Source organism: Homo sapiens, chromosome 4 (assembly GCF_000001405.40).
Source record: "Homo sapiens chromosome 4, GRCh38.p14 Primary Assembly".
Taxonomy (NCBI): domain Eukaryota; kingdom Metazoa; phylum Chordata; class Mammalia; order Primates; family Hominidae; genus Homo; species Homo sapiens.
Genome location: NC_000004.12, coordinates 4,857,186 through 4,881,806, shown reverse-complemented (window position 1 = coordinate 4,881,806; position 24,621 = coordinate 4,857,186). Strand labels below are relative to the sequence as shown.

The 24,621-nt window shown below is 53.3% G+C and overlaps 1 protein-coding gene across 1 annotated transcript, besides 6 other annotated features; it reads right to left on the bottom strand.

Annotated features, from left to right (window-relative positions):
- Positions 10,132–10,707: an enhancer, noted in NCBI's record as "H3K27ac-H3K4me1 hESC enhancer chr4:4872827-4873402 (GRCh37/hg19 assembly coordinates)". NCBI's record gives its function as "activates a minimal SCP1, AML or CMV promoter by ChIP-STARR-seq in naive H9 embryonic stem cells {active_cell/tissue: H9 hESC(naive)}" and the evidence as "EXISTENCE:reporter gene assay evidence [ECO:0000049][PMID:30033119]".
- Positions 16,391–17,308: an enhancer, noted in NCBI's record as "H3K4me1 hESC enhancer chr4:4866226-4867143 (GRCh37/hg19 assembly coordinates)". NCBI's record gives its function as "activates a minimal SCP1, AML or CMV promoter by ChIP-STARR-seq in primed H9 embryonic stem cells {active_cell/tissue: H9 hESC(primed)}" and the evidence as "EXISTENCE:reporter gene assay evidence [ECO:0000049][PMID:30033119]".
- On the bottom strand, positions 17,871–22,142 carry MSX1 (msh homeobox 1). Its single transcript, NM_002448.3, has 2 exons — positions 21,439–22,142; positions 17,871–19,106 (listed from the first exon to the last, which is right to left on the bottom strand). Exons 1-2 carry the CDS (start codon positions 21,905–21,907, stop codon positions 18,664–18,666), a joined length of 912 nt encoding a protein of 303 aa, NP_002439.2. The 5' UTR covers positions 21,908–22,142; the 3' UTR covers positions 17,871–18,663.
- Positions 18,826–19,497: an enhancer, noted in NCBI's record as "H3K27ac-H3K4me1 hESC enhancer chr4:4864037-4864708 (GRCh37/hg19 assembly coordinates)". NCBI's record gives its function as "activates a minimal SCP1, AML or CMV promoter by ChIP-STARR-seq in naive H9 embryonic stem cells {active_cell/tissue: H9 hESC(naive)}" and the evidence as "EXISTENCE:reporter gene assay evidence [ECO:0000049][PMID:30033119]".
- Positions 21,551–21,990: a silencer, noted in NCBI's record as "silent region_15219". NCBI's record gives its function as "represses an Ori minimal core promoter by ATAC-STARR-seq in GM12878 lymphoblastoid cells {active_cell/tissue: GM12878}" and the evidence as "EXISTENCE:reporter gene assay evidence [ECO:0000049][PMID:35858748]".
- Positions 22,001–22,240: a silencer, noted in NCBI's record as "silent region_15218". NCBI's record gives its function as "represses an Ori minimal core promoter by ATAC-STARR-seq in GM12878 lymphoblastoid cells {active_cell/tissue: GM12878}" and the evidence as "EXISTENCE:reporter gene assay evidence [ECO:0000049][PMID:35858748]".
- Positions 22,261–22,320: a silencer, noted in NCBI's record as "silent region_15217". NCBI's record gives its function as "represses an Ori minimal core promoter by ATAC-STARR-seq in GM12878 lymphoblastoid cells {active_cell/tissue: GM12878}" and the evidence as "EXISTENCE:reporter gene assay evidence [ECO:0000049][PMID:35858748]".

Here is a 24,621-nt window from a genome sequence, read left to right as displayed (position 1 = left end):
ATGTCCACTCTCAAGACATTTCAGATCTTGGAGCATTTCCGATTTCAGATTTTAAGATTAGGGATGCTTAACCTGTACTTTCTTGCAACTGAAGGCCACAGGTTTCCAGATTGAAAGGATTCACTTGGGCCCAGCACAAACAACAAAATAAAACCACACCAAGGCACAGGATGATGAAATTCCCAAGCAACAGAGATAAGGAAAAGAATCCAAAACCCCACAGGGAAAGAAAATAAGAATTAGAATGACATCAGACTATCAATAGCTGGAAACAAGATCACAGAGAAATGGTTCCACGGTTGGAGGAGGTACAATGCTACATCCAAGCAAACTATCACTGAAATGTAAGAGGAGAATAAAGACAATCTCAGACATGCAAAACTTTGAAAATGTTACCTTCCATGCAGCTTCTCTCAGGAAGCTACTGAAGGAGATGCTCCAAGAAAGGAAATCAATGAAGCAAAAGGAAGGCCTGAAACCCAGGAAATCAGGGCTCCAACTCAGGAAATGGGCAAAGGGGACTTCTCAGATGACGGAGCAGGGAAGTCCAGGGTTGACAGCTGTTTGATGGCTTCCAGGACAACCAGTGGTAGGAGGGCAACGTTCTCCAAGAGAAGTGTCTCCGAGAGGAGAAAGGGAATGGGGATGTTACCTGGCGTGTGTAAATTTGCTCAGAATAGTTCTCCATTTCTGAGAGAGTGAAGAGGTGAAATTAATGACAAGCACATAGGTAACTAAAGAAAGCATAAAGGCAATTATCAACTTCCAGAAAGAAAGGTTATACAAGACAGGAAATGTAATTAAAGCATATTATGTGGCATAACTACGGACACTATTTATGTGGTCATAATAGTAACCACAGAATATTGATCTAACAAAAAATGATACCCTTATGAGAATGGTGAGAGGGTACTTGGGAAAGCAGCATAAGAGCTAATCTTCATCTTCGTAACAGAAAGTCCATCAATAATATTTAATACTAAAAAATCAAGGATTATCAGTGCAGAGAGGTGATTTAGAAAGAGGTAAGAAAATGCCAGAAGAAATAACTAAAGGTTGAAAATGCTCCATCTGGGGAAAATATTTGGTCTGGGCAGGCACAGGGTGGCGCTGCTCTTTTTCATTATATGCTGTTGAAAACCATTTGACCTTTAAAATGATATATGACTTCTTTAATTAAAAAAATCAAAATTAATTTTACAAACAACTTTTAAAAATAACCTCTAGGGAGAAGTGGAAACAGGCTTTATAAACATATGTATCCCTTTACAGGGGAAATATATTTAAAAACTGTTTATATTAAAACAAAAAATAAATTTTAATTAAAAAAAGGGGGGGTGGATACTGGATTTGAACCCAGGACTTTGACTCTCTGTCAGAGGACGGTGGAGGGAGGAGTTGGACCCACAGGACACATAGGACTTGGACCAACAAAGATGGGGAGGGAATTCCCAGCTGGGAAAAGACACAGAATATTTGGCTCAAAACAAGAAACCCACACAGAGATTTTGGTTTGAAGCTTTGGAAAACATTTGTTTTCGTTCCTTGTAAAAAATGGATGACGAACGGAGTTATTTGAAATGAGATTTTAACAAGAAAAAAACTCATCACATTTCATTAGCATTCTCCTACGAGCCCATTATTAACAAGTCCGATGACTGGTTTTAAGAGTTTCTATTTCCTTATGATCTCCAGTGAAAGTCATCAACACCAAGAGAGGGTTCAGAGTTTGTTCATTGTTTGCTATTTTTTTCAGTTAACATTCTTTGTTCTTCCTCTAAGCATATTATTTGATTTATATTTTTGCAACCACTTTCCACACTGCCTTTAGAGCTTATTTATGTGTTAAAAAGGCACTTATGCAAGCGTAGGTCCCTCAGCGTGAGTGGATTGAAACGGCATGTGCTTTAGAGACACACAGAACTTAATTTGAATTCCAGATACTGGTTTATTAACTGTGTGATCCTGAGCAACTGACTCATTCTCACTGGGCTGCAGGATTCCCTGAAAAACTGGAACCAGACATTCATTTCCCTAGCTATTGATGTGAGTAGTAAATTAAGGAACAAGGCTGGGTGCAGTGGCTCATGCCTGTAATCCCAGCACTTTGGGAGGCCAAGGCGGAGGGATTGCTTGAGCCCAGGAGTTCAAGATCAGCCTGGGTAACATGATGAAGCCTTGTCTCTACATAAAAATACAACAATTAGCCAGGTGTGGTGGCACGTGCCTGTAGTCTCAGCTACTCGGGAGGCTGAGATGGGAGAATCACCTGAGCCTGGGAAGTCCAGGCTGCAGTGAGCCATGATTGTGCTACCACACTCCAGACTGGGCGACAGGGCAAGACCGTGTCTCAAAAAAAATTAATTAATTGATTAAGGAACAGACTTGGAGAACCTGCTAGTTACTTAGCAAACAGAAATTACTCTTCCTTTCCCCCATCCACATATACAGAAAAGTACTCAGACGCTAATTACTTAAATGACTTTTACCACAATTGTGTCCAAGTGGAATTTCATCCGTCCACCTACATTTTGAGGATTTCTTGGAACTCCTTGTCCATACATATCTCACGGCTATTACAGACTGATAGTGCCTGCTGAAAGCTTCTAGAAAAGCCTTGGAGTTCAGTGGCTGTGCTCTGACCTAGGATTAGCAGTAAAACAGGGTCCAACTCCCTATCGTGTCTTCAGGTTCTAGCTCATCTGAGTCATGATCAGTCCATTGCCATTCAGAAGGCAGATCCAAGGAAAAGCGGTGCCATGTGCAAATGTGACCAGAATATAGCACTGGCCCCGGAATCCAAATGTCTGATTCCGATTCTGGCCTATCCCTCACGTGCAATCTTGGACAAATCCTTCCATCTTTCCGGGCTGTGGCTTCCTCATCTGGCTAAAGGGAATCACACCCCTGCCTTGTCAAGCTCACTGGTTTGTGACGAGGTTTACAAGGTGAGGGAGCAGGTGAGGGTACTATCTGTATATCTTTTCTTCCAGTGTTTCCTTGCCTCCTCTTTTCTGCTCCTACCCTGGCTCTGTAGGGTGGGAGGACAGGAAAGAACCCTCAGGGCTTCCGGCTTCTGAATCCCACGAGAGACAGCTTATCTCAGCCTCACTAAGTCCCTGGCACTGTTCTAAGCACATCACGTGCATCAACTCATTTGATCCTCAGAACAATCCTAAGAGGCAGGAGTTATTACAGCCCATCATCCAGATGAAAAAACTGATCGTGATCACTTAACGGGGTTCAGAAATCCACCAAAGGTCACACAGCCAGGGAGTGAGGGGCCAGGATTTGAACTCAAGCTTCCTGGCTCCTGAGCCCCCAGACTCAGCCAGTTCCTGTGTTCATACTTCCTCTCACACCATAAAACGTAAACCTTTAGGAAAATTGAGAGAAGTTTCCCAAATGGAAGGAAAAGAAGGGGAATTGTGGGTCCTCACACACCATCTCAGAGCCAAGGGGAGGTGGTATTGATTCCAACTTCTTGGATCACTGTGGGGATTGAACTAGAAAATAAACATTCTGGCTTATGGAAGTCCTCAGAGATTGGCACTTCCCTTCAGCACCAGCCCCGGAAGCCCCATCACCCTGAGCCGGTCCATCTCTTGGAATCTTGAAGTGTCCTGTGTCTGGTCGGGACAGGTAAGTAGCAAGATATTCGTGGAGCTGGCAGGCCTACATGGAAATGAGGGCCAACTTTTTCACCTTTATCATTTTCCCCCAAATCCAGGTTCCAGGGACTTGACTGCCATGGCCAGCTGTCAAGGGTGAGGCTGCTGACTTCTCGGCACCCACCTCCATGCCTCCTGGGCCTCCCTGGGTTCCGTGGGGCCTCCTCCGAGTATTGATGGCAGGAAGGACAGGCCCTAGAGCTGGGCTCAGAGCTCAGCAGGGCCCAGTTTGCCATCCTGAGGCTCCTCCAAGCCTCAGGCTCCTATTGTGCAGAACAAGGACAGAAATCCTTCAGGCCAGGAGCAGTGGCTCACACCTGTAATCCCAACACTTTGGGAGGCTGAGGCAGGCAGACCTACTTGACGTAGGCCAGGAGTTCGAGACCAGCCTGAACAACATGGTGAAATCTCGTCTCTACTAAAAAATAAAAAAATTAGCTGGGCCCGGTGTCATGTGCTTGTGATCCCAGCTACTTGGGAAGCTGAAGCAGGAGAATTGCTTGAACCCTATCCGGGAGGCACAGGTTGCAGTGAGCCGGGATCACGCCACTGCACTCTAGCTTGGGTGACAGAGCAAGATTCTGTCTCAAAAAAAAAAAAAAAAAATCCTTCATTCACTTAACAAATATCAAAGTCCTACTGCGTGCTGGGCGCTGTTCCTGGTGCTGGGAAGATCAGGGAATTACACAGATGAAGCCACTGCCCTCACGGAGCCCAGAGCCTAGTGAGGGACAGATAAAGAATAAACAAACGTGTAAGCATGACCTCTGCTGCCATGGAGTGGTTTAAATGGAGAAAAACAAAGCAAGGTGAGGAGGGATCGTAAAGACTCACAACAGCACAATTTTAGGCAAGGGGTCAGGAAAGGCTTCTCTGAGCCACCGAGCAGGTACTTGAGCCAGGTAAAAAAGGGACAGAAAGAATCACACAAATAACCAGGGCACAGCGTTCCAGGAAGAGGGAACAGCAAGTTCAAAGGCCCTGCGGCAGGGATGTGTGCACTGTGCTGGAGAGACAGCCAGAATCACTCAATGGCATCAGTCATTGAAGTCACAAGAGGCAGGGGAGCTACATCCTGTAGGGACTTGCGGGCCAGGGTAAGGGACACTGGAGGAAGGGGAACATTTAGCAAAAGAAAAGACTTAGGAGGACAAGGGATAGTATAGAGCCAGGCCTCAAAGTCAACCAGACAAGGTTCAGACTATGGCTGTTATATTCAATAGCTGTGTGACCTCAGAAAAGTTCTCTAAGCTTTCTGAGCCTCTGTTTCCCCATCTACAAAATGAGTCATTGGCTGGGCATGATGGCTCATGCCTGTAATTCCAGCACTTTAGGAGGCCGAGGCGGGAGGATCACTTGAGGTCAGGAGTTCGAGACCAGCCTGGCCAACGTGGAGAAATCCTGTCTCTACTAAAAATGCAAAAAAAAAAAAAAAAAAAAAATTAGATGGGCGTGGTGGTGGGCGCCGGTAATCCCAGCTACTGGGGAGGCTGAGGCAAGAGAATCACTTGAACCCGGGAGGCAGAGGTTGCAGTGAACAGAGATGGCGCCACTGAACTCTAGCCTGGGTGACAGAGCGAGACTCCGTCTCAAAAAATAAAATAAGTCATCAAGAAGATTCGATGGCAGGGGGGCAGCCCGGGAAGGGAAAGTACCAGGACAAATAACTAATGTATGTGAGGCTTAACACCTAGGCGATGGGCTGATAAATGCAGCAAACCACCGTGGCACACATATACCTAGGTAACAAACCTGCACGTTCTGCACATGTATCCCGGAACTTAAAGTAAAATAAAAATTTGTAATAAAAAAAGAAGCTTCTGCAGCTCAGCTCCCTCTGTGTGACCTGCCTTCTCTGAACTTCAGTTTCCTCCTCTCTGGCCTTGGTGTTCCTTCTCATAAAACAGGGGTAAGAATGTCTTCATGTACTGTGGTGACCTCATGTCCAAGGTGATTATTAAATAATATAATATATGTTGAGTTTTCTCCCAGCACAGTGTCACTTACGAAGACGAACATTTGAAGTGTATTTTCATAATCTTTAGTTAATATCTGTCTCACCTAAGCTCCAGCCTCCATAAGGGCAGAGACCTTGCTTTTGTCCCTCTTTGCCAGTGTGTCCCCAGCACTAGCCCAGGTCCTGGGTACATAGTTGGTGCTCAATAAGTGGTTGGTGCTCATTATGGGTAAGATAAATGCTAACTGAATAGGTGGATAGATAGACAGAAAAATTAACTGTTTCCCCAAGGTGGTGAGTGCCCCATACCCGGAAACGTACAAGAAAGCATCAGAGCAGAGATTGGTTTCACTTATTCACTCAACAAACATTGCTGGGCTGCCCCATGTACCAGCCCTAAGGACTCACAGGGTCACAGCAATGAGTGAAACTGGGAAGCCCCTGCACATTCCAGTGGGGCTAAAAGAGACAGGAAACAATAGATGACGTCTAGGGATGATGAGTGCTAGGAGTAAGAGAAGTAACGCCGGGAGCTACAGAGGACCCCATGTGATCTTGGAAAAGGTGCAAATAAAGAGGCGCTTGGATTCTTCAAGTTGGGGGATTTGAGAATCGCTTCCAGCTAGAAGATGCTTTCCTCCCTCGATGACTTCAGAAGGAACTGGGGTTGGGGTGCCGTCCCTTCTCTGGGTAGATTTGTGAAGCAAGAGGCTGAAATTGGACCAGACCACGTGAGTGCCCTATCCCACTCAGCTCCACCTCCTTGTGTAATGCTGTCACCAACTCCTCTTAACCTCAGAGTCCTCCGGTGGCCCCTCAAGACATGTACCCATGGCTGTTTTCATGCCCTGCCAGCTCTCTGATTCCGAGCCTGGGACTTCCAGAGTCCCTGCTGCAGGTATGTCAGCCCTGACCAGGCAGCATTTCCTGCTGGCATGCTGCCAAGTGTGTCTCCTTGTAAAGCTAGGGTCCCAGAGGAAGGGAGGCATCCTATTTTATGAAGACATGTTTATTGGCTGAGAGGTTGCTCTTGCCTGTACCCAGACCTCTCGTGGCTCAGCCCTGCTGACCAGTTCAAGACACCCAGTACGTGGGGGCAGGATTCAGCTACATAATCAGTAGGGTCCACTACAATAGGAAAATGCAGGTCTTCTGTTTTAAAGTAGTGGGGGGAAGCATTGCTAAAAGTATTCTCATGTAAAGCTTTTTCCTTTCTTTGTGGTCTTGCTCTTGACCTGTCATGATTTTTGTTGTTGTTGTTTTTAAATTTCCTATTTAACGCCACACTCACTCATGCATTCTCAGGGATATTCGCAAGGGAGTGCAGACTGTTGCAGGCACCTAGGGGCCCCAAACAGTGACTTGGCATGGGAGCACAGGGCTCTCCACCAGCTGACAAATTTGACCCAGGGTGAAGAAGTCAAGTCAAGCATCTACCTCCTCTTCCCTCAGGCCACTGCCCCAAACCATGGCAGATGGGTAACCTCCAAAGGCATTGCAATTTCAGTGCTAGGATATGCTCGGTACCTGGATCAGGGCTGGGTGAAAGGTTCACCCTTACCCACGTTGCCAATGAAACATATGTCACTGCCAGCCCAGGGCAAGAACGGTCAGTGCCCACCATGCCTCACCTGGTGATGCCAGGGGTATGAACATTGAGCCCTGACTCTCCTCACACTGGCACCCAGGCCCCTGCCAGGTGGAAGGCAGCAGCAGTCACACTGGGGACAGGGAGCTGGAGGCTGGGCAGGGGGTGGCTTCCCAGGGAGTGGAAAGCAAGCAGCCAAGAATTGTCCCAGGGAGGCATTTGAGGCAGGTCTAAGTGCCCAGAACACACTCCATTGTCCCATCAAACATCACTTATAATGCATAAATTCAAAGATAAAAATCACTAAGAACTCCAAGATAGTGACTGCAGCACTACACCCCAAGCGTGGCACCCTTCTGAGTGCAGGCCCCACGCCCATGAAGCCAGCATGCGGGAATGAAATCAGACTGGGCCCTTCCACTCCCCAAGCAGTGGTCAGGGGTTCATTCAGGTAAATGACTTCAGAGACCCCACACAATCCCGGTGAGCCTGGCCAGGTGCACGCTGGTCCCACCTGACTGTGAATGGACCCCAGAGGCAGGTGCTTTCTCCCAGAAGGAACGAGGACCCAAACATCTTTGGAACCCCACCCAGGTAGGGCAGACCATATACAGGAAAAAGAAAGACCCCCTGAGATCAACGCCCTTCCGAAACCAACAGCTCATGATCCCGCAGAAACCAACAGTTCCTGATCTCCTCCAGGGGCCTCTCTCTCAGCAAGAGGGTGATGTGTTCTGTGTGCGCCATGCTCTGGAACATTTCTTGCGGCTCATCCAAACCACCGCCCTGTTCCTCCTGGAATGAAGGTGCTGGTGAGATGCAGCCATAGACCTCAGCGCTCTCCTAAACCTGTTTGCCTGGAGTCAGCTGGGTGTCCTGGAATGACCAAGGCCTGCTTTCTCATCCCAGATTGACCTCCTCACTCACGGACAGGTCACAGAGCCTCACTTCACTTATCTAGAAAATGGGCACAGTGAGAACCCGTCCCTGCTGCCTGCTAGATGATGAAGGCCAGAGGAGACAAGGTCTGTGAATTCACATGAACAGCACAGAGTCCCTTCAGCGAGGCAAATCATGCCAGGGTCATCTGAAGGTTGAAGACTGGTCACAGCCTCACAATGTTGCCCACTCGTTGACTTGGGGAACCTTGCATTTGCTGGTCCCGTGGCCTGGACTTCCTTTATTCCATTCAAATGTCCCCCATGTTCCCTCTTCGGGAAAACCCCCACCCCGATCGCTATCTCGCCGCTCTGTTTTATGTACTGCCTGGCTTGGTAGTGTTATTTTTCCGTTCCTTCTTAGTGCCACCAGTTTCCACTCAGATCCTGCGCTGCTGCGGGGCAGGGACCCTTTCCCAGCACAGCAGGGGCCTCAGCACCTCACCCTGACCCTGCATGTGGAGGAGTGGCTGAATGAGCCAGAGTCCCGGGAACCACTGCCCACGCCACACCTTTTAATATAAGAAATTATAGTCATTGTATTAAAATAAAATGAGGGAAAAGACAGACAATAAAGGAAGAATAAACTTAGGGAAGAAATGGAGGGGCAGGAAGAAGTACTCTTAGGGGTCTCCGCCTGCTTCCCCTGCCTCCCCCAGCCCGGCTGTCAGGAAATCCAGGGCTCTCCTCCTGGAAATTAAGGACGTGGCTCAGGCATGGCTTTGTATACCGAGCCCCTGGGGCGCACCTGCCCCAACTCCCCACCCCCGAAGCCGGTGGAGTTTACTGGGCCAGGTGGTCTGCTGGCCCTACCCTCAGACGGGAGCTGCCGGATTTCCCACCGGGAGGAGCTTGGGATTCTGCTGCCCAAGGCCCCGCCTCTCCAAGGAGCAGTCCGGAGCAGGAGCACTCAGAGCAAACTGGTCCCAGCGCCTCCTTGCGTCCCCGCCTCTCGCAGCTCCCCTTGGAGGCCCCGAGGGCGAGGGGAAATCCCGGGTTTGGGTCGGGATTTAGGATTCCCTGAGGGCTCACCCAGAAACTGCTTGGTGACCTTGGGCACGTGGCTTGACATCTCTGGTCCACAGTTGACACGTCTGTGAAAAAGAACCAAGGCAATGTTTTCCTTTAGAGGCCTTGGCGTGGATTAAGGCAGACAGTAGCTATGGGGGGGCCTGCCACAGACTCAGGCTCAGAGTAAGCCCTCACCGAGGGATGGGGCGCTCGATTCCCCACGCGGGGCCATACTGGGCGCTGGCATCAATTCCTAGGGCAGGAATTGAAGTGTGAGTCAAATCCCAGGTGCTGGTGGCGGTGGCGAGGGGCAGATACGGACTCACGTTCTGCTTCTGTTCAATGGACACAACAGACACCGCCGAAGCGGAATGGAGACAATTATTCCGATAAGTCGGGGCCGGGCGTGCCTTCCTCTCTGGATAGTTCATCCCTCCTCCCTTCTCCCCGGGTGCCCACCCCACACTTGCACAACCCTGAAAGTGTCTCCTTACATTTTGCTTCCCGGGTTGCTCCCTTGCCTTCCTGGGTTGGAAATGGGACTAGCTGAGACCCTGGGCAGGTACCTTCGTGCCTCTGCGCAGCAGTGTGCTCGTGTGTGCAATGGGATAATATTCCTCCCTAAGTCGCTCGACTTTTGTGAGGATTAAGGGGCACCATGCACGCCGAGCGTTTAGCACAGGGTCTGGATCCGGTACGAATCGATAGGTAGCAGTCCCTCCCTTCACAGGCTTCCACACCTCAGTTTCCTGGGCCGCGAAATGGGCGCGGGCAGGGCCTGGAGGATGACTGCGTTCCAGGAGGGCAGGCGGAGCAGGCTCCTACAGCTGGCACGCACCTGGGTCGCAGGAGCCGCGCAGGGTGTCAGAGGGAGGGGAAAGCCAGCGGAGTTGGGAGCTGCGGTTGCCCGGGGGGTGAGGGTGTCCGCAACGGACTCCGCCCCACAACTGAGGTTCAGCTGGCCCCGCCCCGGGCTGGCACAGCCGAGTTCGGGGACTCCGGGGCCGCAGCTGGGCGCCAAGGAATCCGGGTGAGCTCCGTAGGGAAGAGAAACATCCTTGGGTCCCGGCGATGCTTCACTCTGCAAGGCTGCGAAGTTTCTTCCGGAACCCTCTCTGATTTGGGGGTAGGGGAATCACCAAAGACGAGGCACGTCTCAGGCAGCCACCCCTGGTCCCGGCCATTGACACTTCCCTCTCCTACAAGGGCACGCGGCCCCTTCTACCTCGCCCCCATCTTTCTCCTCCAAGTGGCCGCCAGAGCATCACAAAACGCTAAGCCTACTCCAAACTCGCCTAAGGCCGGTTCCAGCCGCGCCGGCCTCAGCTCTCCTTGGGGCTTTTGCATTTGCCGACCCCTCTCAATGGGAGATTCCTTCTTCAAACTACGGCTCCACCTCACCCTTCAAGTCTCAACCCTTAAGTCGCCTCCGCCGAGAGGCCTGCCTTGACCGCTCCGCCAAAAATAGGCTCCGACTGTGCTTCCTGCCCCCGTCTTGTTACTTTTCCCCTTAGAAGCATTCAGCTCTACCCGAATTCGTTATTTCTTAGTGTGCTGGTCTTGTTCAACCCCGCCGAATGAATTAATTTAAGGAAGCTGGACTAAAATTGGGGATGCCGGGTCTGTCCAGCCTTTCTGCCGGATCTCGGCCAAATCACGAACCCCCTTTGAGCCTCAGTATGTCATCCGTAAAGAAAGATGTTGGCCCATTGGTGACAATGGAGCATCACTCAGGTAACGCTCAGAGCAGTTTCTCCCAGTCCAGTGTGGGTTTAGGGATTCAGCCAGCATCTAGAGTGAGGCAAACTTGGTCAACTTTGACCATGGCCAAAGGGGAATTCTGCCAAGTATAGGAACCGGCTCTGGCCTGGGCGCTTGCTTCCCAGTTGCCGGTCGGCTGTTGGCTGCTTTCTGCATTCATGCCAGAAGCAGCGGCAGAGGTTGGTGGGAAATACAGGCCGGGTCTTAGACACCTATGTGACATTTGGCAAGTCACATACGCTCTCTGTGCCTCGGTTTTCTCACTTGAAACAGATTAATAAGAGTGCCTGCGTCATAGGGAGAAGATTAAAAGAGGTGAAGGTGTCTTAATTCCGGGTCCAGAGTGGCGCACAGGCACTTTCTGACACTTTCCAAGAGCAAGAACACTCTCCTCCGCTTCCACTCCGCTCATCCCTTCCGCCTCAGGGACCTCCCCTCACCCACACACACCCTCGGGGGACTGGAGAGTAAGGAATTCCAATGGCGCTGCGGAGAGCAGAGCCGGCCAGCAAAGAGCGCTCAGGTCACCATCCTGCCTCTATGCTCCGCGCTACGCTTGGCGCTCTCCTCGCGCGCTCCCCTTCTCACCCGGAGTTCTTACCGCGCGCTGCCTTTGGAGTCACCCATAGTTTCCTCTGCACCAGCCCGAAAGTGTTCCCATTCCGCGGACCAGGGAACTGAGATTTAGGGGCGCCAGATGGTGGCACCGGCTGTCTGAGTTGGAAGCTCTGTTTCACTCTCACTAGCTGTGTGATCTTGTCTGAGTCATTCAACTCTCTATGCTTCAGTCTATGACACGGGTCACAATGGCACGTGCCCACCTGGTAGTGAGGATTCGTTGGGATAACCCGCGTGGAAAACTTAGATTCTAAGGGTTGTGATCCATAGGCAAGCGCGCATACATGTCAGCTGCAGTCACCGCAGGCGGAACAACTGTGATGACCTCACCACCATCACCGAACTGGGGACGCAAGTGATGGTACAGCCCGTGGAGAACCCCTTCCCTTCTACTCTTTCAGGACCTGCCAGGGGTCAGGATTGTGTCCATTTAACAGAGATGGAACCTGAGTCTTGGAAAACTCGAGAGGTGGGGGGCCCCACCCAAGGTCTCAGCCTGCCTCACACATTCCCTTTTAGTCGATGTGGCTGTTTCTCCGGTGGAGAAGCCCCTGCTGCCACCCGGGTGCCACGAGAGTCATCAGAGAGGGAACGGGGTTTTCTTTTTAAAAGCAGCATCGTCAGAGAAACAGCGACTCAAAGCACTAGAGTCCAGCCCGCCCTTGGGGCAGCTCATCTAAGGGGCAACAAAGAGGCAGGGCGCCGCAGAGGGTTATGGAAAGCGCCAGGCGGGGGAAGCAAGGAGTGGTCTCGCAAAGGGGAGGCTTTGGGGTCTCTCAGACCCTCCTCCCGCTCCCTGAACCCCGCAAACTCTGGCAGCAGCGCCCGGTGGGCGCACACACGCACTGTCAGGCCGCGCCCTGTGCATCATCAAAATCTGCACCCAGCTGGTGAAGGAGAAAGCAACTCCTGAGGTCCCACAGCAGCGGGCTTGGATCCCACCACTGTCTCCTCGCCTGTAAAATGTGCAACAAAGGCTGCCACGTAGGGTCGGGGACCCTTCCTTCCATCTGCCCCTAATCAGGCCCCAAATTGAGGGCGGGCTTTTGAATTCGCTTTTAACTACCTACCCCCCACTCCTCCCCCCCACCACACACACACAAAGGCCGATCTTTATTGCACCCCGCTGGTGCGCTAGCCCCTGCGAGCCTGGCATTAGGGGCAGAGATTCATCCTGAGGGGGAAACCTAGATTCGAGCCCCATGTCTGAGTCAATGGCCGGCCTTACTCTTTGGGAGTTTCCAGGGAGGTACAGACATAACCCTCCCGCCTTTGAAATTGATCTAAGTGTCTAAGTGCAGAATTCATAATCAATGTTAATTGCTGTCGGGGCCAAGCATCTCACAGAGCGTTTCATTTTATTCCCTTAACAATAGAAGCAATTGTGACGATTCCACACTTTATATGGAAAAAGTGAGGCTCAGTGAAGTTAAGGAACTTGCCCGAAGTCACACAGTAAGTACCAAAACCAAAATTTATAAGTAGATGATCTGACTCCAGGTCGGCGACTCGACACCCGCCCTAACCAGGGTCTGCGACTGCTTCTTGAAGTACCGCCTTCTCTGTCCAGGGGAGGTGGGATGGGCATTCCTGATCTCTGGCTTTGGTCCGTGGAGAATGAGTAGGGTGTTGGGTCTGATCAAGGCATTCTGAAACCCTCTGCCTAGATGGGAGAAGGTGGGTGTACAGGACGAGGTGGGGCCGAAGGGGGTCCCAGAGGAGGGGACCCAGGGGGAGAAAGGAGAGCTGAAGTCACTGGCTGTTCTTGCGCGGGGGCGGGTGGGGGGGGGAACTCCCAGCGTTCCCTCAGGCGATTCTCCAGGCCTTCCAGTAAAAGGTCTGTGTCCGGGGATTGACCCCACGTGCGTGGAGCCAGAATCCGCGCTTACCCTCTGGTGTCAGCACAGCAGAGCACCCAGCGCTCTCACGCCTTGTGCTCTGAGCTGAGCTTCTGGCTTGCTGTATTGAGCTTCTGCCGCTCAGGTCTCGCGTGGCTTTGCTCCTCCTCCCTGGAGTCCCTGAGTCTGAACGCCTCTCAATACAGCACCTCCTTGGTTTCTCTCTCCCATCTATGTCTATCTCTGGGGTCTCCCTCCCCCTTTCTCCCAATATTATATGTGTCTGTGTCACCAGAACCCCTGTGGAAGATGTTAGAGAGTGGCCTTGAGTGTGTATGGTTGCCTCTATAACTAGGGCTTGTGGGTGTGGGATGTGAGAGTTGATTGTGGGTGTTGGGTGTGTGTTGGTTTTGTGTCTAGCATGTATTAGTTGTGCGTGGCTGGGTGTGTTGGTGATACGTGTTGATTTATGCGTTGTGTTTGTGTTTGTCAGCCTTGTGTGTATGTGCTGGGTATGTGTGGTGGGTGATGTGTGTTGATTCGTTTGTGTGTACCGCGTGTGTTGGTGTCTGCATATGGGTTATACATGTGTGTTGCATGTGAGTGTCATGTGTGTCTGTTTCGGTGTGTGTTGGTATGTCGTGTGGATGACGTGTGTTGGTCGTGTGCGTGTGCGCACTTGAGGATCTACTTGTAACGCAGGGAGCCAAGGCCAGCGTCCAGCACCGGAACTACAGTGAGCAGGCGCTGGGAGAGCTGGCTGTGAGCTGAGGGCCGCGGGAGGGCGCTGTGGGGGAGGCAGGCGGGGTGGAGGCAGGGTCCCCCTGGGCCTGGGAAGGGGGCGGAGTGCGCGGCAGGCGTGGGAGCTGTTGAGTGGAGCGGAACAAATTCCGCAAGTCTGGAGTGGGGGCCTGGGAGTGCTCTGGAGAGTGGGCACTTGGTGGTGGCACTTGGGGGTCGGGGGCTTCCCAGGGAGTCCGGCGTCGGGGCCGGGGGACTGTTCCACTGTGGGGCGATGCGAGCTGAGCGTCTGGGAGGGCGGGACGGAACCTTGGAGGCCGCGCGGCCTCGGGGGCCCGGCCAGGCCGGCGCCAGCCGCAGAGTTGAAAGGCGGCCGCGGCCTCTCCTCGCCGCTTCCTATTGCGCCCCCGAGGGCTCTAGGCGGGGCGCAGGCCTGGACCCGGCTGGGCTCACCTCCCGGCCTTGGGTCACTAAGGAGGGCGCAGCGGTAGGATTCGCACTCGGGGCCCCTGCCTCACCAGTAACTGTCCTCACTGGGCCTCCTGCTCAATCTGGTCCTTCAGCCCCGGGTTCAGCGATCCGAGAAACTAACCTTAAAGTAAGGCGCTCTTAGCGCGAGGTCTTCAGCCCCACCCCAGCCTCCCGGTCCCCAACCGCCCCGGCCCTGCGGACCTATGCTCAAAGCTCGAGGCGCCCCAGGTCCCTTGCCGCCAGGTAACCTCATTTCTGCCCCGCTTCCACGCCACGGACTGCTTTGGTCTTGACTGCGTGGTCAGAAGCTGAATTTGCAAAATGAGGCTTCCGTCTCCTCCCCAACAAAACGAAAACGCTTTCACAGCGTGCAGGGCCGGTGAGACGCCCCTATCATTCCTCAAGGGACAGTGCCTGTTCGTGGTTAGAGCGCAAGGAGTTAAATTCAGAACTAGTTCCCGGATTCTGCGCTCCGTTTTCCAGCGCGACGCGCACTTCGCAGGAGAGCTGCTCAGGCACCAGGTGACCCTCAACCAGATGGAGATGGGCAATGCGGGAAAAACCGGATCCTCGAGTGGAATCCGTGTTGGAATTCCTGCTATGTCCTTCATTAACTGTGTAACCTTGGGAAAACCATGTCACCTCTCTGAGCTGCAGTCCTTTGCGCTATAAAAATCTCCTAGGTGTGTTGGGAGTCAGCGTGAGCGGGAACTCCCGGCACACAGTAGGCTGTGAGTGCAGACTGCTCCATCACTACCTCCCAGCGCGGAAGGTGGCCGACCTCTCCGCCTGGTAGATCCCATGTTTCTTGCCAGAGAAGGAAATTGGTCCGTAAAGGAACAGACCCAGGAAACCCCTGCCCACTCCGCCCTCGGTTGATAAACCAGGGAACACAGTTCGAAGGACTGGGATGGACGAGAAGCAGTGCCGGAAGCGCAGCCGCGATTTCCGGCCGGACCCGGCTGACTGTGGCTCTGGGTGTTCTCCCCACACCAGCGTGCCGCTCCGATCTAGCAAACAATTATCGAGCACCTTCTGTGTGCACACCCTGTTCAGAGAGGGAATGCGGAAACAAAAGGGGGGCAAAGAATGGGCTAGACGGACAGAAACAAAAATGGGGAGATTCGGAGGCCCAGAAGTGGAAGGAAGCCCCTAGCCAAGGCCAGCAGCCAGAGGCGGAGGCGCGCGCGGGCCGGGGTCCCAGGGAGGCCGGGCCCTCGCACCCGGGCTGCGGCGCAGGGAGGGGGCGGGGAGGCGCGCCCGCCTCGCCTGCAGCTACCGCCTCGCTGGAGCCGCGACGCGTCTGCAGAGGGTGAGCCGTTGCTCATTACCGCAATTATGTTGCTCTAAATTTGCCTCTACCCTAAATTGCCAAACTCCAAGGAGCCAGGAGGTCCTGGAGCCGGGGCCGGGGGAGACACCCGATCCTGCCCTGCCATTTCCCTATCACGAACGCGCGGAAAAAAACTTCAGTGCTGCGGGCGCGCAGTAAGCCAAGAAAAGTCAGATGCACCCGGTATTCCCTGGGTGCCCTCCCGCGCGGGGGCTTGTCGACACTTCCCCCAAATCCTGGGGTGTAGGGGGAAGAGTCCAAGGCCCATTTCACAGACGAGAAAAAGGCGGTGCAGAGAGATGATATGATCTTTTATAGTAAGTGGCGGGCTTGATCCACACTGAACCACATTGGCTCTCTGACTCCAAGTTCAATACTAACCCCACGACGAGGACGTCTCTAGCGTGTTCCAGAAAAGAACCCAGATTTGCCAGAGCCGGGCGTCCTGCGCGCCGTCATTCGAGGGTTACTTAATTTATAGAGGAAAGAAAAAAGAAAAAAAACGCGGCGAGGCACTTCAGCCCTAAAGCACCTTTAGAGAGCTGCGTGGTGTGGGAGTCTGAGACCTTGTTATGCATAGCTCCCCTTTGGGGGGCGAAAAGGCCCAGACCCGGGCTCTGGTGCTTTTCTAGAAGTTCCCAGGCCGAGGGCAACAGCTCCGGGGCTCCCCAGGAGCGAAACTGCCCTCCACAGCAAGCTTTTCTTCTTAAGGAGCGGGGTTGTAACAAGTTCATACTGCAGCTCCAGCCAGGGAAGACAGAACCTTTGCCCGAGCTGCAGAGGCTGGAGGATCCGAAGCCCAGGACGCCCCGGAATGTGCCCGGCGCCCGTGCAGAACCTGCCCAGGGCGCGTTCCCGCAACCCTGGGCTCGCTGGGAATTCCTAGACCGACCTAAGGGTCCTGGGGCTAGAAACCGCGCGCTGCCCTTGGGGCTCTGTTTTTAACGTCTCTATCTGTGAAGCTGTTCACCCCTGTTCAAGTCCAACGCCAGGTACCCAGGTTTCGAACCATCTTTAGTCTACTGACCTCCGGCTTAACGGCTTACTGCAGACTGTCCGGCGCTATCCTGCGTGGAATTTGGAGGAGCGGGTCACCGCGGGACAGAGGCTGAAGGAGGAGAGGGATGCGCAGGTCTGCCGCCGCCCGAACACGAAAGACAACAGAGCGGTGCCTGGAGCTTAATAGGCTTTATTTAATCAGGGGGTAATTTTCTGCATTCGGCGTCCTTGCAGAATTCCCCGGAAAGCTAAACTTGGCGCGTGTGCAAATATATTCTCCTGGAAGACTGATCTTAAGAAAAACCGAGTTTGTGAGGGTTTGGAAACAGGGCTCCTGCAGAGGACTTTCCAGGCGAGAGTGGAAGGTGGCCCTGGGTTTTCTGTAAACTTTGTTAGGTTGTGTTGTGTTTTTAGCGGCCAGAATAGGGGGTGAGAAGGTTCTTATATTCTGGCAGCTCAAAATTAGTTCCACAAACCGCGTCTACAGTGGGGGTAATTTAGAGAGGCAACGCAATCGCTTCCATCCCCCACCTGGCCTCCCGTGGGAAAAACAGATTTGCGGAGGTGGGAATTGTCTGGATTAGCTGTCCACACTCATCAAACCATTTGGGCGATTTGCTTTGTTTTCATAGACAGGTTAAAAGGAGAGAAAGAAAGCAAGAGTTGGTTATAGGTTGCCCGAGTAAGTGTCGATTTCAGCTTAAAGTGAATTGGAAAATTGAGCCTAATTATCCTAGGTAATTACTTCAACTCTCCACTTGACTTTCCTAATGCAGATCTGTCGTGGGTGTTCAAAAAGACACCCCCCTCTATCCCTGCATACCCTGTTATCACCTTTCAAAGTTGCTGTCGTAAAAGTACCGTCAAACTGAAAAGCAACTGTACACATAAAGAGATAGCAAGAAGCAAAATTAAAATAAAAGACTCAATCAGTAAAGAGATAATTTTTGTAGCTTAAAATTAATTTATTTAACAAATATAGCTATAATATAAATGATAATAAAATTTCAAATATACAGTATATTACATAGTACACACAATCCCTTCCAAAGGGATGTTTGAGAGCCACACAAATGTACTGTTAAATAGAAAGAGTTTTTTTTTTTTTTTAATTTTACAATTGTGTTTCTGGTACTGGTAAGAGAGAGGTCCCTTCAACCTACCTTTGCAACACATCTGTGTTTTCCCTGCCCCCCAGAGCAAATGTTTTGTTGTTGAACTTGTCTTAAATTTTCCAATGGAAGAAGCTAGGATTCATCTTCCTGGCTGGCTAGTCTTTTTTTTCTCTTTTCTTTTTTTTTTTTTTTTTTTTTTTTTTTTTTTTTTTTGAGATTGTTCTCATTTCCAAAATCGTCAGACACCGATTTCTCTGCGCTTTTCTTGCCTGGTGTCAGGACAGGGAAAAGCTATGCAGGAGACATGGCCTCTAGCTCTGTTCAACTGTCAATTCTGCTGGGGACCTTAGATAAATCTGTTAACCTCTCTGCCCTCAGTTTCCCCATCTTTAACTCGAGAGTGTAGATCTAAATGCTAGAAGAGTACTAAGGGACTCTTCCAGCCACTTTTTGGCAGGGATCAGACTTCGGAGAGTGAACTCAGGGAGCAAAGAGGTGAAACTGGAGCAGTGTGAGGGTTAAAGGGAAGGCGGCTGGCGGTGCCGAGCAGGGGAGCACGTCGGGGGTACAGCACCAGGGCTGGAGGAATCGGCTGGCCCACAGGTGGGCGACCTGGGACCCTCTATGTCAGGTGGTACATGCTGTAGCCCACATGGGCCGTGTAGAGTCCCACGGGCGCCACAGGCAGCGCGGCGCGCTGGAAGGGGCCAGAGGCACCGTAGAGCGAGGCACCCGCCGCGGCCGCTACAGCTGCGGGGCCGCCGAGAGGGAAGGAGAGGCCGAAGGCAGCCGGTGGCAGCATGGGCTTGGCGGCCATCTTCAGCTTCTCCAGCTCTGCCTCTTGTAGTCTCTTTGCCTTGGCGCGGCGGTTCTGGAACCATATCTTCACCTGCGTCTCAGTGAGGCTGAGCGAGCTGGAGAACTCCGCGCGCTCGGCGATGGACAGGTACTGCTTCTGGCGGAACTTGCGCTCCAGCGCCAGCAGCTGCGCGGTGGTGAAGGGCGTCCGCGGCTTACGGTTCGTCTTGTGTTTGCGGAGGGTGCAGGCTGGGGGGCTCAGCCGCCCTGAGGGCCGAAAGAAAAAAAAAGCAAGGGGTTAAGAGAGAAGCATTGGAGCATGATCAGCCCAAGAAGTAGTAATAATAGCCAAACAATACCAGATATTGAGTGCCGCCAAGTGCCTCGGTGCCGGGCATCGCGCAAGGCACTTGAAATATATTTTCTCCAATTCCCATTGCAACCCCGCAGGGGAGAAGTTCCTGTCTACTTTTTGCAAATGAAGAAACTAAGATTCCAGGAGAAAAATACCCACGTTGAAGGCTCGATGTCCACATCTTAGGCCTAAACAGCTGGGAAGATGTGAAATCACCTTTGTGCTGCCCGGCGGCTTAGGAAGGCCTTCATGGCGGGCCTCCTCCCAGGGCCATCCAGAGGAAAGGTGGATGTTAATACAGTTGACGAACATGCAGAAAGAGGCCCTGCGCCCAGCCCAAGGGCACATTTAGTTTTACGCGTTGGCCAAACATTTATCAGTGCCCACGGAGTGCTTCAGTGTGGGGCTAGGCAGTTTTGTGGCATAGAATCCAAATCAAATTCTACACTTTCCCCGGAACACTTCGCTCCTACGGGATTCTAGGAGTAGTTCCCGCAGACCAGAGATGGAGCAGCGCAGACCATCATGGAGGGTGCACTGTGGCCAGCCCTCTTAGAAACAGAAAGTGTCATCTGGAGCGGAGAACGAGGGGCTGCTTTATTCTAATGGGCTTTTTCTTTAGATTGTCTCAGTCCTCTGTTGGATCGCGTTCACCCCTGGCGCCAGGGCCCTCTGGCCCCACTCAAACGTTTGTGTGTGTGTGTGTGTGTGTGTGTTGATGTTGTTGCGGGGGGAGTGTTGAGATCGCCTCTCCCCTCAACCTGTGGCATAGTCAGCAGACATCAACATGCCCAGCTGTCTTTTTCTTTTGGCTTCAAAATAAACCTCAAGGGTGGACAGTGAAGAAGCATCAGAGCGCAGGACTAGTGCAGGTCGGGGATGGGGTCTGCTGGGGACTGCCCCCGGATAAAATGTGGAACAAATTATCCCAACACAGCCGGGATCGCTTTGACTTCGGGGTCTTGGGGCCCAAGGCCCTAAGCGTTGGAAAGGACACTTTGCCTATGCAGCAGCTTTCCCGGCAGAAAGTGAATTCAAATCGAAGATGTTTCACCACGCGGGTTTTGCCTAAGTATGCATTTTTTCACACCTCTCTAAAAAACAACCACAAACAAACAGAAAAAACAAAACAAAACAAAGAAAACACAACGATCCTTTGGACTTTCAGACCACCAGGATGTGAGTCAAACGAAATCTCGTGTTAACACCCCGCTTCTTCCCTGCTGGAGGCCACCGGGAGTCCGGGAAGCGCTTGGCCCCCAACTAGCTTTCCGCCGGGCCGCCCGAGGGGCGGGCGCCGAGAGAAACGTCACTCCCTTCAGCGGCGACAACCCAGAGCGGGGCCACCTTCTCCGGCCATTAGGCTTAGGGAGGGACTGGCCTTTCAAAGACGTTTAATCCCCAGATAAAAATCATTCCTCAGCATCACGCCATTGAAATCTGGCTGCTATTATGCCGAGCAAAATAATCGGAGGAAACGAGGAAAACTTGGGAATTTCCCGTGCTCCTGAAATATCTCCGAGCGTGTTCTCTGAGTAGAGCAGCCAGGGGGCCGTGAGGCCTTGGAGCGAACCGCCTTGGGCACCTGGAGTCCACTTTAATGGCTCAGTCCTAGACGTTTGGGAGCTTCCCATAGGATTAGCGGGGGCGCCTTCCCCTAATTGACTTGGTGCCCCGCCCCCTCCACTGGAACCTGAATGTCCCCACCCCTGAATCATCCATCCGCCCAAAGCACCAACTATCTGCCTCAAACTCAAAGGGCATGGGGAGGTAGAATTCTGTAGGAGCTTCGGAACCTCTAGGCAAAGAGGTACTTGAAAGGGAAGAGGGGCTGGGGGACACCAGCTCCTACTGCGAGAAAGTGAAACTCCGGGTGCAGGGAAGATACCGCACCACACACATTCATCCGCTGGGGTGAAGCCGATGAAACAGAGTTTGGGATCAGATGAGGGATCATGGACCCCTGAGGTCGTTTGGTGGGGGCAGGAGGACAGGGTGCCCAGACATCGGTGTCCTATCCGTTAACTCCCACCCGCAGCGTCTCTGGGCCAAGGCGAGGAGGTCTGGAACCTTCTTCCTGGGTGGGAGTGGAGGGAGGCGCAAGACCCGGCCTTGCAGCCCACGGCTCCCTAGCACCGGCTGCAGGTACGCAGGCGCCGGAGGCCACCAGGAGCCCTCGGGTCCCACACCCCACCCGGCCCCCACCCGGCCCCCTCCCTCTGCGCCTGGGTTCTGGCTACTCACTGGCCGGCGGCGGGGAGAAGCGGGGGCTCTGCATCCACGGGGTCCTCTCGGGCTTCTCGGGGCTCTCGGCTTTGACGAGCGCATCTTCTGGCAGCTTGAGGAGTCCCCCCACCGAGAAATGGCCGAGCGGCCGCGGCGAAGAGGGCGCGTCCGGGGCTCCCAGCGACCCCGGCGGGACGCCCAGTGGCTGCGCCGAGCCACCCGCCGCCTGCACGCCCTCGGAGGGCGCCAGGGCGCTCTCCTTGGCCCCCGGCTTCCTGTGGTCGGCCATGAGCGCCTCCACGCTGAAGGGCAGGAGCGAAGGGGACACTTTGGGCTTGGCCCCCTCCTCGTCCGCGCCCATGGCGGCTGCCGTGGCCGCGGCGGCGCTGGGGGCCTGGCCCGCGCCTCCCCCCGCCGGCTTGCCGAAGGCGGAGTCCTCCACTTTGACACCGAGTGGCAAAGAAGTCATGTCAGCAGCCGGGGCCATGCAGAGCCGGGCCCCCCCTTCTGCCGCAGCACTGGCCAGCCGCCGGGCATGGGCTCCGGGCGGGCTGGGAGCGCGGCCGGCCTCTGCGAGCGCCCGGGGCCCTGGCCGGGCGGACCCTCCCGCGCGCGCCTCCCGCCCCTCCCCAGCAGGCCAGCTCCGGCGTGCTGGGCCTGGCCTCCGGTCGCTGCCGCCGCGCAGGCAGAGTTCCCGGGAGCACTCGCCGGCTCCGGGCCCTACCGCGGCTCCCCAGAGAACTTGCTAATAAGGCGAGGCCAGCGGGGCGGCGGCCAATCAGCGCGCGAGGGGGCGGGCCCGGAGCGATCCATTGGGCCGCGCTCCTGGGGACTCGCCCGGAGGCGCGCTGGGCCTGGGGGCACGCAGGGCAGGGCCCAGGCGGCGGAGGGCAGGGGAGGAGAGGGGGTGCCCGGGAAACTTTCCTCTGCGCTGAAGCCCAAGAGGCCCTCTCTGCGGGAGTCCCCTGGGTCTCTATCTTTCTGTGTTCCCGGGGGATTTTCCCTTGTTCTCGTTCCTTCTCTTCTGCCCTCCTCTCCTCCCCTCCCCTCCCCTCCTCAGCCCTCTTTTCCGCTCCTCTTTTTTTCCCCGTCCTTGTTTCTCTCCTCTACTGCTTCTTTTACCTTTCTCTTTAGTCTGTGGCTGGGTTTCCCTGTGCCCCCCTCCACTGTCTGACCCCCCCTCTTCTTCTACCACAATAATTTGAGTTGAGGTTATTTCTTACACATTCCTTTTATATATAGTTTTTAAAATACGCATGGCTATTTATCCTAGGAGAAAGACATACTATTAACTTCTTTTCAAGAAACGAAACAAAACCAAACCTTCATTTTCTTCCTGTTCTGAAATCTTGTAAACTTTACCTCGAGGTAAAAGTGGGCCTTTGTCTCTAACTTAGAGCTGGAGTAAACCTTGCGGGAAGAAGCTAGCTTCCTGTAGTGCCAAGGATGTGAGAATACGTAAGATTATCTAGAATCTGCAGTCGGTTTTCATACACGATGTGTATTCCCCCCCCCCCACCCTCGCTCTGAACTTCTGTCCCAAGGGTCACAACACCTATAGCGCCCGGGCGGGGAAAGGAGCTGCCAGATCCTTTTGATATAGAACTTACTGAAATAAAACCAACAGAATCGTCAATGAAACACCGATCTGGCCTTAAGGTGACCTCAAACAACGCGTCCTCGGAAACAATGACATGTCCCTATCTCTGGGCCGCTGATCCTGGAGGGGAGAGGCACATTTGGGGGAGGGGGCTGGGAAAAGAGGAAAGTTCCTGGAGGTGGACTCTAGTGTGGGACTTGAGAACTCTTCTTTTGCCAATTTCGGAGAAAACGTGATTTAATGTTTGCTGTTAATAATAATAATAATAATAAAGACAGAAAAAATGAGTTGGGGTCAGGGGAGATGCAAGATCTGCCTGAAGCGGGGTCGGGGCTTGGCCATTTTCTGCGCCTGTCGCTTTATGGCCTCTCCTCCTGCGGCCCAGGCCAGCGGCTCTCAGGGAGTGAGCGGAGGTGATTGGCGGCTCACTCGGCCCTGCCATTGATGACTGCGGGGTTCTAATCTCCAGGAAACACAAGGGGCTGCCGTGGCCATTTAGGGGTAATTATCCGAGCGCGGAGGGACAGCGAATTCCCTCGACTTTTAACTGGGCGCAATAAAAGCTGTAGATTAGGGGCGTCCAGATTAGGGAAAATGAATTAGAGCGGGAACTTTATTATCCGGAAGACGTCCGGGGTCTGGCGGCAGGGGTCGGGCTGCGGACGCCGGAGCGATTGGTAGCCTCCCATCTGTCCACAGGCCGCCGAGATATGCTGAGGCCTGGGGAAGTTCGGGAATACCGGCATCTGAATTTTACGCACATCTCCAGGTTTCTAAAGGACCCAAGACTGCAACTCAGGCACTGGGCAGTGGTTGGGGCTTCTAGCTCGAGTTGGGCCGGCTGGACGCGCGGTGCACCGGGGCCTCCGGAGGTTTGCCCGAGAGGGTACAAGGATAGAAGACCTTAAGACCCAATTTTGAAGCTCAGCTCGCTGAGGCTGAGCAAGGCTGTAGGGCAAATACCTTGCTGGTAGCCCAGCCAGGACAGCGAACAACAGCATCTTCCTCTTCTTCCTCTTCTTCTTCTTCTTCCTCTTCCTCTTTTTCTTCCTCTTTTCTCCTCCTCCTCATCCTCCTCTTCCTCCTCTCCTCCTCATCTCCTCCTCCTCCTCCTCCTTCTTCTTCCTCTTCCTCTTCTTTGAGACGGAGTTTTGCTCTTGTCGCCCAGGCTGGAGTGCAATGGCGCGATCTCAGTTCACTCCAACCTCCGCCTCCCAGGTTCAAGCGATTCCAGGACGGCGAACTTCTATTGCTCCCGTTCTAATCAAACTCTCGTCAGAACAACCCCCTCCGCACCCAGCCAGAATCTCCCTTTGTGGCCAGGTTAAAGGGGGAGAGGAAACAGAGGCCTATCTGCTTTTGGGGCCATTTAAAAAGCGAGCAGTGTGCCTTTTCGAGTCTTTGCTTAGTTCCGCCCTCGCCCTCCTTCTGCAAATGTTTTGCTCCCAGGTCTCTTTAAGAATCTGATACAGCCAAGAACTTCTTCCCTAGAAAAATGCACACCTACAAAAACACATTACAAGCAACGGGGCAGACAACTTCGGGGGCTCTGGTCCCAAGTGGAGTCCTCCAGTTAAGAACCCCTGCTTTAGGGCTGAGCG